Source organism: Homo sapiens, chromosome 11 (assembly GCF_000001405.40).
Source record: "Homo sapiens chromosome 11, GRCh38.p14 Primary Assembly".
NCBI classification, from domain to species: domain Eukaryota; kingdom Metazoa; phylum Chordata; class Mammalia; order Primates; family Hominidae; genus Homo; species Homo sapiens.
Window position 1 is genome coordinate 99,086,904 of NC_000011.10, and position 14,577 is coordinate 99,101,480.

The 14,577-nt window shown below is 33.1% G+C and overlaps 1 protein-coding gene across 11 annotated transcripts in view, besides 1 other annotated feature; it reads left to right on the plus strand.

The window, feature by feature from the left end:
- The window catches only part of CNTN5 (contactin 5), a 1,337,937-nt gene that overhangs the window by 65,955 nt on the left and 1,257,405 nt on the right, over positions 1 to 14,577 (plus strand). The gene's annotated exons all lie outside the window — the stretch shown is intronic.
- Positions 5,772 to 5,941: an enhancer, noted in NCBI's record as "experimental_21952 CRE fragment used in MPRA reporter constructs". NCBI's record gives its function as "activates a minimal promoter by MPRAs in K562 erythroleukemia cells, with activity observed for the non-introgressed 11:98963490 variant allele {active_cell/tissue: K562}" and the evidence as "EXISTENCE:reporter gene assay evidence [ECO:0000049][PMID:34662402]".

Consider the following 14,577-nt stretch of genomic DNA (forward strand, 5'->3'; position numbering starts at 1 on the left):
ATGAATATAATCTTTATAACAGTATCGTGGTGGTAGCATTACTTTTGTCCCTATTTCATAGATGAAGAAAATGGAGGGTTGGAGAAGTTCAGTAAACTGACCATTATCACCCAGTAAGTGGTAAAGCTTGATTTTGAGTCCACTGAATCTGGCTGTGGGTTTTTTGTTCTTTCCTTACTGTACTAGGGAAACAGAAGATCAGAGAGAAATTTAGTCCTGTGAAGAATTTTGAATTGAGGTTATGCCAAGCACATAGATTTAGAATACATTATCTCTAAATCTCACAGCAATTCTCACATTGATTAACTCTTATGCTCTTAAAGAACAGAGAGGATACCTGAGTTATCTAAGCAGAAAATAAATGGGAGTCAGAGCTGCAATTCAACCTCAGGTAGCACATGGTTCAAAAGTCCCTGCTTTCCCTACTTTATCTGGTATAAATTTAAAGAGTCATAATTTTTATATGGTTCTTCCTTGGGCCATTTATTTACTCATAAAATAAAAATATTGGAAGTTGCTTATATACCAGATACAATGTGAGGTACTGAGATTTTTGTGATAAACAGTAATTGAGGACTCTTAGATGACAAACAAGCACAGAAACAATTGCAATGTTGCAGGAGGAAGTGGAAGGGACATAATACTCATAGTTCTTTTACAGCATTTACCACCGTCATACATTTAATCCAGGTGGTTGTGCACAATCATCTCCCTAGTACTTCTTGATATCCGTTAGGACCCAGAGTATACCTTTGTCTTTTCTAATAATAAATGTGGTACCCTGTACAAAGTAACTACTTCATAAATATTAGCAGAAGTGAATTCAATTCATTGCAAACTTTGTATTTCAAAATGTATTACAGTTAGGTCTGTTACCCAAGGCTAAAGAATAACAAGACATTTTTTAGTTGAAATGAGAAAGTAAATAAATTTTATTTTCCCTAAGACACAGTCTTCTTCCTGCAGATTCAATTTCACGGGCATGCAACCTATGTGGCCACAGAGTCCCATGGTCAGAAGGGCCAAATGCTTAGCCTAATGCTATGCTGTCACTGTCTTGAAATTCTTAATAATTTTTGCACTATTATCCCTAAATTTTATCTTGCACTAGGCTCCACAAAATATATGTGGCTAATGTAAATAGCCTTTTTGGAGGAGAGGTGCTGAGAACAGATGTTAAGGGAATATTAAACCTTGGGTTCAGGTACAACTATTTCACCTCTTCTAGCAACCTTCCACAAGAAAACCCTCACACACATATACTTCACATGGAGGTCAGTGTCTTTTTTCTATGTTCTCCTAGTGCACTCATCACTCACTTTGCATGCACCAAAGGTTGATGTGTTCTTATCTGTGCCCTGATAGTGCTGATAATGGGGTCTTTTGGCAAGCAATCATTGCAATTACAGAGACTGGTAAATATGCTTATATGATTTTGGAGGAATACTGGTAAGGTCGAAGTATATGACCTGTTAAGAATTTTTTCCTTCGGCCTTGAGATCAAGGCCGTGATCTTTAAGACCAAGTGAAATCTTGGCACATTCCTTACCTGCCAGATGACCAAAAAATTAAAAGTAAAAATAAGGTATAAATCTTGAGAGGGAAATTCTGATTTTGTCAGGAGGATGCACCTTGTAGTAACGATTCACCAAAGGCTAATGAAACGTAGAAGGTGTGGGAAAAGCAACAGCAGCAGCAGCCACAGAAACATGAGAAAAGGTTGCCTCCCAATAAAGAGTGGCAAACGCATATGTTATGTAAGACCTGTACATTATAGCAACTCGGAGCAATCTAGGCACTGAGTAGCCAAATGCTGAAGACTAGTGGGAAAAAAGAAATCACTGCATGTCAAGGTAGAAGAGGATGAGAAATTAATAGGATGGAGACCTTGAATTTAACCACATATCCTTGCAAGATGTTTACTGTCATTTTTAAATTTTTGCTTAAGTAAGGAAATCAATGTTTATCAATTCTCTACTCAATTTTGCTTTCAGAGCTTATTTATGTTATACACAAAAGAAATATATGATACAGTTATTAGTCTCTTCATTGGGCATCAGTGAAAATAAATCAACACAAAAACACAACTTCTGTAAAATATTTGGTTGAGAGAATAATTAGTTAATAACCGATTAAAAAAATTGAATTGGACATTAGCCTTAAACTGATAATATTAGTGTATAAATACCAGTTCACATAATATTAGTAAATTCATGAGAGAACATTGAAGTTATACTGTATTCAACATAGCAGGCCTTTTGTGTCTAATCTTAATTCCAATGACAGCAACATAAAACTAATTGTAATTTCTATATCTAGTATACAAATATTTTATAAACAATTATATTTATAGCAGAAAGCATACCAGCTATTATGAGCCACTGTAAAATCTTGTAAATAGCATTTATATAGTATTTATTATGTCTTGGCAAACACTTTATACAGATAATCATATATAACTATAAGCACTTTATATAGATCAACTATTTTATTCTCATTTAACGCTTTAATCCTATAAGATAAGCACAATCATTATACTCATTGTTTAGACAAGGACATGGACGAATAGTGTTTTCACGACTTGCCTAGTGTTTCTTAGCAAGTAAATGACAGAGTCAAAATTCAGTCTCAGTCCCAGACACCAGGGATCCAGATTTTGTGCTTTTAGCCACTTTACTGTATATCGTTGCTGAAGAAAGTCATTTCGCATTAAACAAGCATTAAATAAGCTACCAGTTAGCAACTTGTGTTACCATGTTATCATTAGAAATACATTGGTAATTTTAAAGTATCTAAGTGTATTTTTAATTAAAGTTTAGATAGCGAGTAAAACTCTAAACAATACGGGACAAATATCCATACCATAAATATTTCACATGTAACTTTACTTTTTATATTAAATGAGTGTTAACATTTAAAAATTGTCATCTGGGCTAGCCTTGTCATTTGGCATACTCTGTTTACTTGCAAGGTAGTCTTTATAGGTGCAGGTCTATGATAATTATTAAATATCAGTTTTTCAATGGTTTTCCTAGCCATTTATTCAGGGAACAGATAGACATTTACTATGGTGAATCTGGAACGTACCTAAGGTAATATACCACTTTTTAGAAAAATTCTGTTTCTCTTTTTGGAGTCTAATACCTTGGGGTATAATAAGTGCTTAATAAATACTTTTAACCATGATGATTGTTTTTAATAGATAAATGTAAAAGTTCATAAGAACCCACTTCCTCAAATATTTTGTTCATTCATATGTCACTAATTCTGAATATTATGTAAAAAGAGACAACGGGGATATTCATTGACATCAAGAACCACTTATGTTTTTTAATGCGAATTTTTTTCTTTTAAATGGGATGTCTTATTACAAAGTAAGTAGATCAGCAGCCCCTTGAAGTTATTATGGGCCTGTTGTGGCTTATAAAACAGAAAGGCAGTAAAAGGCACAGAAGCAGAAATTGGGGATGCAAAAGATTTACTAAATTTTACAGTTTTCTCAGCATTAACTCTGTTCATAGCTGTAAGTGACATAATAACTTATTGATTATTAATCAATTTCAGCCAGTGAAATACATTGTGAAGTTTTAAAATTATTTGCTTATCAGATCATGTGATAAAGACAGCTAAATACAATAACAGAACAAAATCCACAAATCCCTTATACCTGTGCAAGTTGTTGTGAAATGTTTCTGTATTAAGGATCTTAGTTATAAGGGAAAAGAAAAAGTTATAGCCTGAAAAAAAAAGAAATGTGTCAAAGGACAAAGTACTTCATACTGTCAGGAAGGTAATTTCTGATGTATTGTGCTCACCAGAAAAAAAAAAAAAAAAAACGGCCGGGCGCGGTGGCTCACGCCTGTAATCCCAGCACTTTGGGAGACCGAGGCGGGCGGATCACGAGGTCAGGAGATGGAGACCATCCTGGCTAACACGGTGAAACCCCGTCTCTACTAAAAATACAAAAAATTAGCCCGTCGCGGTGGCAGGCGCCTGTGGTCCCAGCTATTCAGGAGGCTGAGGCAGGAGAATGGCGTGAACCCCGGAGGCGGAGCTTGCAGTGAGCCGAGATCGTGCCACTGCACTCCAGCCTGGGCGACAGAGCGAGACTCCGTCTCAAAAAAAAAAAAAAAAAAAAAAAGCCTTATGTCTATGAAAGATTCCTGACTTTGCAGGAAATGCAGGAAATGAAATCGAGACCTAAATCAAACACAGTGATAAAGATGTGCCATTTGTGTATATCTGCCTTTCTAAACTGAAGAATTTATAGACTGAACAAACAATTCCTACCACTTGCGGTCCTGTTACTATAACTTTGGTCATTTTCCCCTTTGCTCTAGGATTAGCAATTACATTGAAATTCCTACATGAAAAACTGGAACAACTGCACACCTTGAATCCAGGTAGACCTGGATTTGATTACTGGGGCTAATCAGGAAAACAGAACAAATGTGAAATAGTTTGGTGGTCTCTGGTGCTAGTTTTGCTTTGGAACCAAATGATAAAGTTGTTGAAAGGTCTGTAAGGCACAAGGAACCAAGACGAACCCAGAAATTCACAGAGTAGAAAGCTGTTACCTCCCTTAAGACTGGCAAGTCAGAGAGTTGAGGAGTGTTACAGAGCTCCAGAGTAGAGACCACCACTTGGGAGGAGCTGGAATCATAGTGAGGCTGCTTTGTGAGAGCTGAGCCCACCAAGGGAGAGGTTGTCTATCAGGAGCTGAAATCACAGAAGAGGCACTTCATCTGCGGGGATGCTGCTTAGAGCAGAGGAAGGGAACTTACTTTGGCTTCTTTTTGTCACCCTCCAGTTTCCTGCTAGGTGTCTCATTAGCTAAAGGCTGGTTGGCAACAGAACTTGAGCAACCTAGTTTTTATGTGTTGGCCATTTATGATATAGAATAGAGCAGAGGAATGACAAACAATGGATACGAGGAGAAAAAGCCAAAGCAAAATGGAGAAAAACAAAACTAACTCAATGATCTTGGTCAAATAGTTTACATACCTAAATCTCCATTTCATTTTCTTCAAGATTGGAGGAATGCTATCCAAATTACAGCATTTTTATTAAGATTAAATGAAATCAGATTAATAAAGTATGATATCCCTGGAATATATTAAGTGGTGTATTAATAATGATTTTTCTTCCCCAATTTTGCAAACAGGAGCCAATACATGAGAAAGAAAGAAAATGTGTTTTTTGTTGTTTAGTTTATTGTTTTACTAATAGTTCCTTAGTGCAGACCTATCATAATTGTATGACTTCTTCAGTATTTTAGGTGCAATTTTTAAAAGTAGTATCAATATAACCTTTCTAACAATTTATCTTAGAAAAGTTAATCGGTAGTCCAATCCATCTCAGATTACAATCCATAGCTAATATAAGTATACCTCATTTATTGTATTTTGCTTTATTGTGCAAAGATATACAGAGTACTTGGGTATTCTGTGTATCTCCTAAATATCTGAGCTTATATATGACAACAGTAGTTACATCATTTTTATGGAACAAAGACTTACTTAGTTTATCACACTTAAGAGTACATGTTACATTATTTTTGCATTAAAAATTGTCAAAATGTTGATCAATTGCACTTATAAAAAACTACCTAAAAACTGGCCAATTTGAAAGAATGTATGTAAAAGAAAGCTCAATGAATAAAAATGTACAATATTTGAAAAATTGGAATCAATTTTAATATCCATTAACTTAGAAACCAACTAAATATGATTTAAGTATAGAATACTATGAAGTCATTAAAATTATGATACTTATGTACATCTACAAATGGTAAAAGTTGTGTATGTTATATTACTGAATAAAGTAAGCATATTACAAAACATCATGGAGCCATTTTTGTTATAGATGTGTGTTTGTATTCAGGTGCAGAAAATATATACAAAAATCTAATGATAATTGTAGCTATATCTGGGTGGTGTTATTATGGTTTATGTTTGTTGTACCCTTTCTGTGTTTCAGTACTTTCTGGTACTTTATAATAATTTTTTTGAGATTGTTACATTAACTGTTTAAGAAACTAAATGCCAAAAATGGCAACTTTTACTTTAAGAAATGGGTTCTCCAATTTTCATTGCTTATTTATTTTATTATTTCTTGAATTTTAAGATAAATTATTTGTATAGAATTTCTATTCTAGGACATGTAGTACATAGCTGTTAGTTGAATGAGAGAGCACATATAGGAGGGACCCTAGAAATTTTATTAATTGACTTGTGACTTATAGATGACTAGAAACAACTTTCCTCTAATTTAAACTTACCAAGTTACACATACAGGAGTGAAAAGCAGGGTTAGTTCTCTTAAAGCATAGTTATTGTTTAATTTAGTTGTAATAGATATTAATTAAATACAGAAATTATTTTTAAACTTTAACAAGGGCATTTCTCTATGATCTCTGTTGCCAGACACTAGGAAGTAATCTCTGAAGGATAGGAAGCAAAGCATAAATCAAATAAGATAGTCTCTGTTGTACGCTGGACAACACAACAGAAGATTGAAAATGTGTTGCTATTGTTTTTCTGTTTTTTTTTTTATTTCTTATTTTGTTTTTTGGTTGTTAATATATGGCTATTCAGTTAATATATGACTAACTGTTGTTTTCTTTTGACATTAAATGTGACCCATGTTGGGAAGGCTAAAAACCAGCTAAATTTACAATGCAGAGGGTAAGAAAAGTTAACCAGAGTCCACAAAGTTGATGAATGTAGGAGCAGAAAGGCAATGTCAAATGAATGCTTTTGTGAAATTAGCAGTGACAAACTTAGGGACAGTTTGTAATAACCACCCCTGAGTTTATAGCCCTTTACATTTCGTCTGGCATAATATATCATTCTATTTTTATTTTAAATCACCAAATGAGGCGAGTTAGGGAAATGCAGGTCAGGGCAAGTACAGTTATCTTTATGAGGAACCCCAGGCTCAGAGAATTTAATAACTTGTCTAAATCTCTGACTTTCAAATTAGTGCCCTTTCCCCTGTGCCTCATGGCCATACTCGATCACTTCAAATAAGTACTTAAAACTCTGTGAGGCATTTGGAAATAACATATTGATATATAACATATAAGATAATATAATATAGTAGAAATATTTCTGAACATTAATGATTTCTACCCAATTAGATACTGTTAGTACACCTATTTATCTTTAAAGAATTGGCTTCAAATCCCTTATCACTACCACCATTAAGACTGGGTCTTTTGTCACTATCTATCAAATATCCTATGGGCATAAGTAATTTTTGTTCATTAATATCTATCATTCTCACAAAAGTAACCATAATAATTATAAAATGCTGTTTTCAATATAATGCATTATTGATTAATCTCATTAATATGTCATTATTGTTAGTAGTACTACCCATGTATAATTTAAATTAATGTGTGTCTAAAACATTGATTCAGTCTGAGGGAACTTGGATTTCTGATTATAAGCAATTATGAAACCTTAACACCCAGAGTTAAGCCTGTTGAAATATATTTAGAAATACTTAAACTCTGAAATAAATGTAATAGCCCCTTGTGGCATAAGAGAAGCAGTTTCTGACCATCTGACCATTTTTAGGTAGAAACAAAATCTCAGTGATTAAAGTGCTGCTCTATTGAGAAGGATGGAAACGTCTCGTAATATCTTAAAAGATAAGACAGCGCTAACATGTGGCATACAGAAGACAGCCATGTCAGGAAAAAAGAAAAATTTACACAAGAGGAAGAACAATAGTGACAGTGTTATTAATGGCCACGGAAGGAGTAGCTGTTTGTGTCAAATAGGCATACCCTGAATAGTAAGGAAGAAAGTCCGGGGTAGGTGGTAAATTACAAGTATTTTTTACCAACCCCGTCTCCTGTGGATACTAAAGAGCCCCCCAGTATTAGCACTTAAAGTTGTGTGTGATCAAGAGATACAGCAGTCATTAGTGTGAGAAAGGAGATTAATGGTAAGTAAAAGTATATTGTTCTTAATATAATTCATTTATTCATGGTAAGTAAAAGTACCTTTTCCACCTTTCATTCCATATAGGCCCCACAACCATGCATATTATTATTATTATTAGGTTTCTATCTTTTTTTAAAATTATACTTTAACTTCTGGGATACATGTGCAGAACATGCAGGTTTGTTACATAGGTATACACGTGCCATGGTGGCTTGCTGTACCCATCAACTTGTCATCGACATTAGGTATTTCTTCTAATCCATGCATATTATTAAACTAAATATACTGTATACTAATTTAAGAGGTCACACCTAAAAAATATTATCAGATATGATTGATGCAAAACAAATAAAAGCCTTACCTTTCTGATGTATGTATGATTTGGAAATGTTCTACCTAATGCATAGTTGTCATGTAGGATCATCCACTATTACCTCTACTCCTCCCCCAAGAAATGTATTTCAATTTTACTATTCTTGCCCCTGTAAATTAGAGATTATGTACTCTGTTATTGAAAATACAAAATGGTGAGAGTGATAGATGTATCCAATAGGCTGTAATATAATGAGAGTACAAATCATTATAAATATATACTTATATGGAAGTTACTTCTTTTACCTGGGGCATGTATGAAATACTAGCATTTACGGTAGCTCTTGAGTGATGAGTGGAATGCCAGCTAAGAAAGAGTAAGGGCAGAAAATCACCACTAAGATAAACGTAGGAGAAGAGACATAAAAGTACATTAATATCAGGCTTGTTGAGTAGAGTGAGGGAAACTAAGAGATGTAGGTGCCTGTGTATAGTGGTAGAAGCTTATATGCATATTTGGATTGTATAAGCATGGAAAGAGAGGGTGAATTAACAAATGAAATTGGGACTGTAGTTTGGATAAAGATTTAGCAGGCAAGCTGAGTATTTTGGACATTATTTTGTGAGCAGTCAGGAGCCACGAACTTTATGTTCAGGGCAATGACAAGAACAAGATAACTTACATTGAGAGACATGATGTGATTTTTCAAAAAATTAAGTATTCATAGTCCTTCAATATATAAATTGGTTTTATTTCTTTTTCATCTATTCTGTTTAAGTGCATTGGTTTTAAATATGATATAATGTGATATTCATTCAATTTTATTCAAACAGCATCAATATTTAAATTGTCTGTAATTTACATGAATGGTTCAACATAGATGTTTTAGTTGAATTAATATCTTGCAATAACTTCAGTGGAAATGCTTTTGTTCCTTTGAAAAATATCTACTAGTTAAGTAAATGTATCCAACTGTGAAAATAATGTGATAAAAATATCTTAATATACATTAAAGTTCATTGGTTTTGAAAAATAATTGGTTTTAGATACAAAGCTATTAAAATTAGTAAAAATGCCTAATTTAGGATAAAATTTGTTCATTTCTGTGCAATTACTTTTGGCTATGATAGAAAGTATTTGTGATGAAAACAATATTATGACTTTGGTGACAGTAAGTAGTACTTCTGTTTCAGGAAAAATAAAATAGATGAGATTCATAAATTTAATGGACCAGTAATTTAAAATAAGCATCCAAGATGAGAAGAACAGTCGCCTAATTGTTTCCTTTTAACTAGAAACATGCAGAATATAATATTGCCACAGAGTTGTCTATGATTGCATAGATTTCAAAGTGTTTTCATAGGTTTTATTTTATTTGATCCCCAGGGTAATTCTTTAAGATAGGAAAAACAAGTGGTAAAATATGTTAATATTTTAATGACTTTTCCAAGGTTTCAAGTCTGACAGTAGGACCCAGTTGTGTTTTTATTTTATTTTTTATATCTTCTTTACTGGGAGTAGGCTATTATTAGACTTTCTTTTGCACAAAAGCATTCCAATTTTTTTTCAGTCAAGGCATTCAAAAACTAGTCTACTAAATACGTATGAAGGGTGTATCTGATTTTTCTCGCTGTCATACTGCTTGCATTTGGATGCATTAAGACTTAAGTTTATTATATGACAGGCTTTAGTTTCCTTGCTGATATACTTTGCAGATAATGATTTCAAGACTCTTGCAAAAGCATTGTAGTTCTCAATTTATAAATTTAATTAGGAGGAATGTCCTGTTATAAGAATTTAAAATCACAATCATATCTGTTGTGTATGTGTATACAGTGCTACACTTTATTAGCTATCACTATGTTCTGTGCATATTTGCAAGTAATGTGTCTGTGTTAAAAAACATTATTCAATCTACACTGAGTTCACTTTTCTTATAATCCAAATAATTGGAGTTAGATAAATATCATAAAGAAAACCACTGGTGTATCCTTTTATCCAAATGTCACCTTGTGTCTTTTAATCCAATGTCCCTTGCACATACAGTCCAACAATTTTTTTAGTGTTAGGGAGGCATACAAATATGTCAAAGTCATCAACCATTAGACAATATGAGTACAAACTGAGATGGGGTTGGAGATTATATACGTTCCACTGGAAAAGAGAAGAACAAGCAAAGCAAAAATATGATGTATTACCACTAATTCAAAACCTGAAAATTTTCTCTAGGGCAGAATATATTTCACTTACCTATACATTATTACAATGATTTAATTTTGACCAAGACCATAAGGATTTTTTTCTGTGATATTTACATAATTTTGAAATCAAATCCATAATAGCATACCATACATAATACAATTTTGTAACATCCGTGCATTTACAGAGATAATAAATTTCTTCATATTTTGAGTTATAAAAATTACTTTAACTATATTACTATATTCTAGGTGAATTAATATTAGAATGCTTCACCAAAACCTTTATATCTATTTTTGAAAACTTAAGCCATTATTGATACAATTAATTTGAGAAAATTTATTTTCAAGAACCATATTTGCTTTATTTTGGTAATAGAAAGCACCTTAGTTTTAAATGCTAATGTCTTTCCTACATAGGTAAAACAATTTATACTTTAAGTTAGGTGATGTCTTTCTCTTAGGATTGAAACCTGTATAAATTGAAGGTAAAAGGCCAGTTTACATAGTAAGAAAAGTGGTGAGATAAGGAAGTAAATAAGATTTTAAAAATCAATATAACATTAAACTAAAAACAATTAGGTGGGAATTATACTCCTTATATAATTTCTGAGCGAAAAAAAACTAAATTTTAAGCCTCAATAAATTTGCTGTATCTAGGTTCTGTTAGAAAATGTGGAATTCTATATATCTCATTTGCCCTGTAGTTAACTGAGAGGGGGAATAGAGGTTTCCTTCTCTAAATAAATAATTAAGCAGCATTTACCAAATCAGAGACAACACATTTCTCATTCATGGCTTCAATAATCTCAAAGAGTTGGACTTTTTGGTCATAAAAAGATATTTGTTGACTTACTTACTGATGAATGTTTAGGTCTGTAAACTGGATTGAAACAGATGAATTTCCATCAGGCATATGGTATTATTCCTGAAGAAGCAGGTATTAACCTTGAGAAGCGACATAGTTGACAAAGTAGGCCATGCAAGACAGTGTAATCAGAGCAGTACAGGTTGGAAGTCTGCTTTTTATTTCCTCGAGGTACCCAGACTAATTTTCCACTTACATAGACCACAACACTAGTGGCTGAAAAAGCAGAAGACTTTATGATAAGGTCACCTACACCACAGGGGACAACTGCATGAAAAGAGAAAAATCAGCTCTCTGCTACGAGGTTTTCATCGTCTGACTTTTGGCAAATAAAAACTGCTAGTAACTGCTGTTTGTCTCTGAGGGAAGAAAACGATAGTCTTCGATTGTTTAATATAAAATATTAATTATCTGATTCCTGAATTCTTCTTAAAGACAATAATGAGTCACTTTCCTTTAATCTCTTATGTACATTTTTCTTTCAATTACTTTAGTCTATACTCGTATTCATAGCATGCTTAAGTTTCCCATAAATCTTAATAGAAAGTATTTTTCAGAGACTAAAAGGTTTCCACAAGAGATACTAATGGTTTCACACTAGTCACCAACTTGATTTTTTCTGCTTCTCAGCTGTCTTTAGTTTCACAGTCCAGAGACCATCTGTCTAGACAGGTGTTATCGCACTGGTATCTAAAAGTAGAAACTGAACATCATTATTTTTGAAATCTATTTAGAAACTGCAACTCTAGTGATAAAGCAGTACTGGTCTAAGTTGTGCACTGTTACAAATCACTTCCTTAGAACAGATGGACTACAAAATGGCTTATTTTGCATGGGCCAGCTGTGAACTTAAGTAGAGAATAGGAATTGTGGATGTCAATTACATTGCACAGAAATTTTCAGTCAAGAAATTTACCAGATAAATCAAAAGGAGTTTGTTATGAGTAGGCATTTATCTCATGGATTTATTTTTTAAATAATGTCCACTGTTAATACAGGGAAAGACAAATATGAATTAATCTTAAAGATATTAGTATAAAAGTAAATTCTGCTAAAAAATACTTCAAGGCATATAAATGTATGGGCCTTGACTATACTCCACAAATTTTAGCTTGAAAGGCACCATTCTCTTCATTCCAAATTTAAAATACCTGGGTATTGATATCTGAGTCTTTTCTACTGTGTAATATTGGAGAACTTACCGTTATGAACAAATTTATAGATAATGTTGCAAAAGAATAGTTAATTCCATTACATAGTCACACTGTGTCACCCCAGGAACGTCTTTACAGCATAAAAATATAATGTGTATACACACACACACACACACACACACACACACAGCATAGGCACTTAGCACAGTGCTGCACACATATTATACAATCTGGTATTGTGTTCATTGCCCAGACTCCCACTTCCTAGTTAAGTTGCCTTGAGACCCTTACTTGAAATTGTGGTGTCCCAGTATTTGCTGTTTTTCTATGTAAAATAGGGATAATAAGCCTTTCCTAAATCATAAGGTTGCTGTGATGATAAATGACACAATACGTATAAATCACTTCGAAAAAACTGACATTTAATAAGAAGGCAATAAACATTAGCTGTTATCATTGCTGCTATTATTTCTGTATTCAAAGTGGGTTGGCATGTTATGTTACAAATCACCTGAACTCAAAGTACCTTTTCCTGAAAGAAAAATAGATATCAAATTTGGACAGATTTGGTTGAAATCATATTCTATTATTTCATAGTTAATGTTGGTGTCTTGGTACATTAAATCGTAATTTAAAACATACTTTTTATGGCAAAGTATGGATCTGAGTTAAAATCATTAAACATTTGGGAAAAAAATTTTATAAAGTAATGACCCAAAAAACAATCAACGCTTCTTTAGGACCTGCAAACAATATTTTTAAAGAGAGAGGAAACCACTTATCTTTCTAAATAAATATTTTTTCTACATGTGGTTTAAAATATTTTTTCTCTCTCTCTCTTTCTTTCTCTTTCTCTTTCTTTGCCAGCCCTGCTCCCAAGGAAAACAATAGATAAGAAATAATATAAAGCAAATTCCAGAGAGGTAGGGGGAACCTAAGGTAAAGAATCAAATCATGTAAGAACAATATTCTTCAACTTCTTGATCTAACATAAAACTTAAATAAATGTTAGCTTATTTTGACCTTGGTGTTTATGCATACTATAAATCCTAAATATATTGTTTTTTGGCTTTCATTTGTTTTTTACTCTATATTAAATATTGTAATTTTCAATTAGAAATGATATCATAGCATAATTGAATGTATTTTAGGATGACATTATTACTTGTAATTAGTAATCTATTAAGCTTTAACAAGGTCTTAGGGGCTGAAGCAAATAAAGGAGAAAATAAAATCAACTTTTTGGGATCCAATATAATTTAGATGAGCAGGAAATATAAAATATGTTGAACAAAGGCTATTTCTCCATAATACGTTTTTAAACTACTATAAAAATATATTCAAATAAAATTTAAACCAAAGTGTACAATAAAATATTACCTACTTATAAATGTTGCACAAATAAAAATATAAATAGCATACTAAAGAAAATTAAATAAAATGCACTTGGAGATATAGAAACATAGAACTATCTCTGATGAAAATTGAGTCATTCTAAAATGTGCTGAAATATATTTCTTACATGACTTTTGTAAAAGCAATAAGAATTAATATGATTGTATTAGTCCATTTTCACACTGCTGATAAAGGCAGACCTGAGCCTGGGTAATTTATAAAGAAAAAGAGGTTTAATGGACTCACAGCTCCACATGGCTGGGGAGGACTCACAATGATAGTGGAAGGCGAAAGGCACATGTTACATGGTGGCAGGCAAGAGAGAGAAGGAGAACCAAGTGAAAGGAGTTTCCCCTTATAAAACTATCAGATCTTGTGAGACTTATTCACTACCATGAGAACAGTATTGGGGAAACCACCCCCATGATTCAGTTATCTCTCACCAGTTTCCTGCCACAACACATGGAAATTATGGGAACCACAGTTCAAGATGAGATTTGGGTGGGAACACATGATAAACCATATCATTCTGTCCCTGGCCTCTCCCAAATCTCATGTCCTCATATTTCAAAACCAATCTTGCATTCCCAACAGTCCCCCAAAGTCGTAACTCATTTCAGCATTAACTCAAAAGTCTACAGTCCAAAGTCTCATCTGAGGCAAGGCAAGTCCCTTCCACCTATGAGCCTGTAAA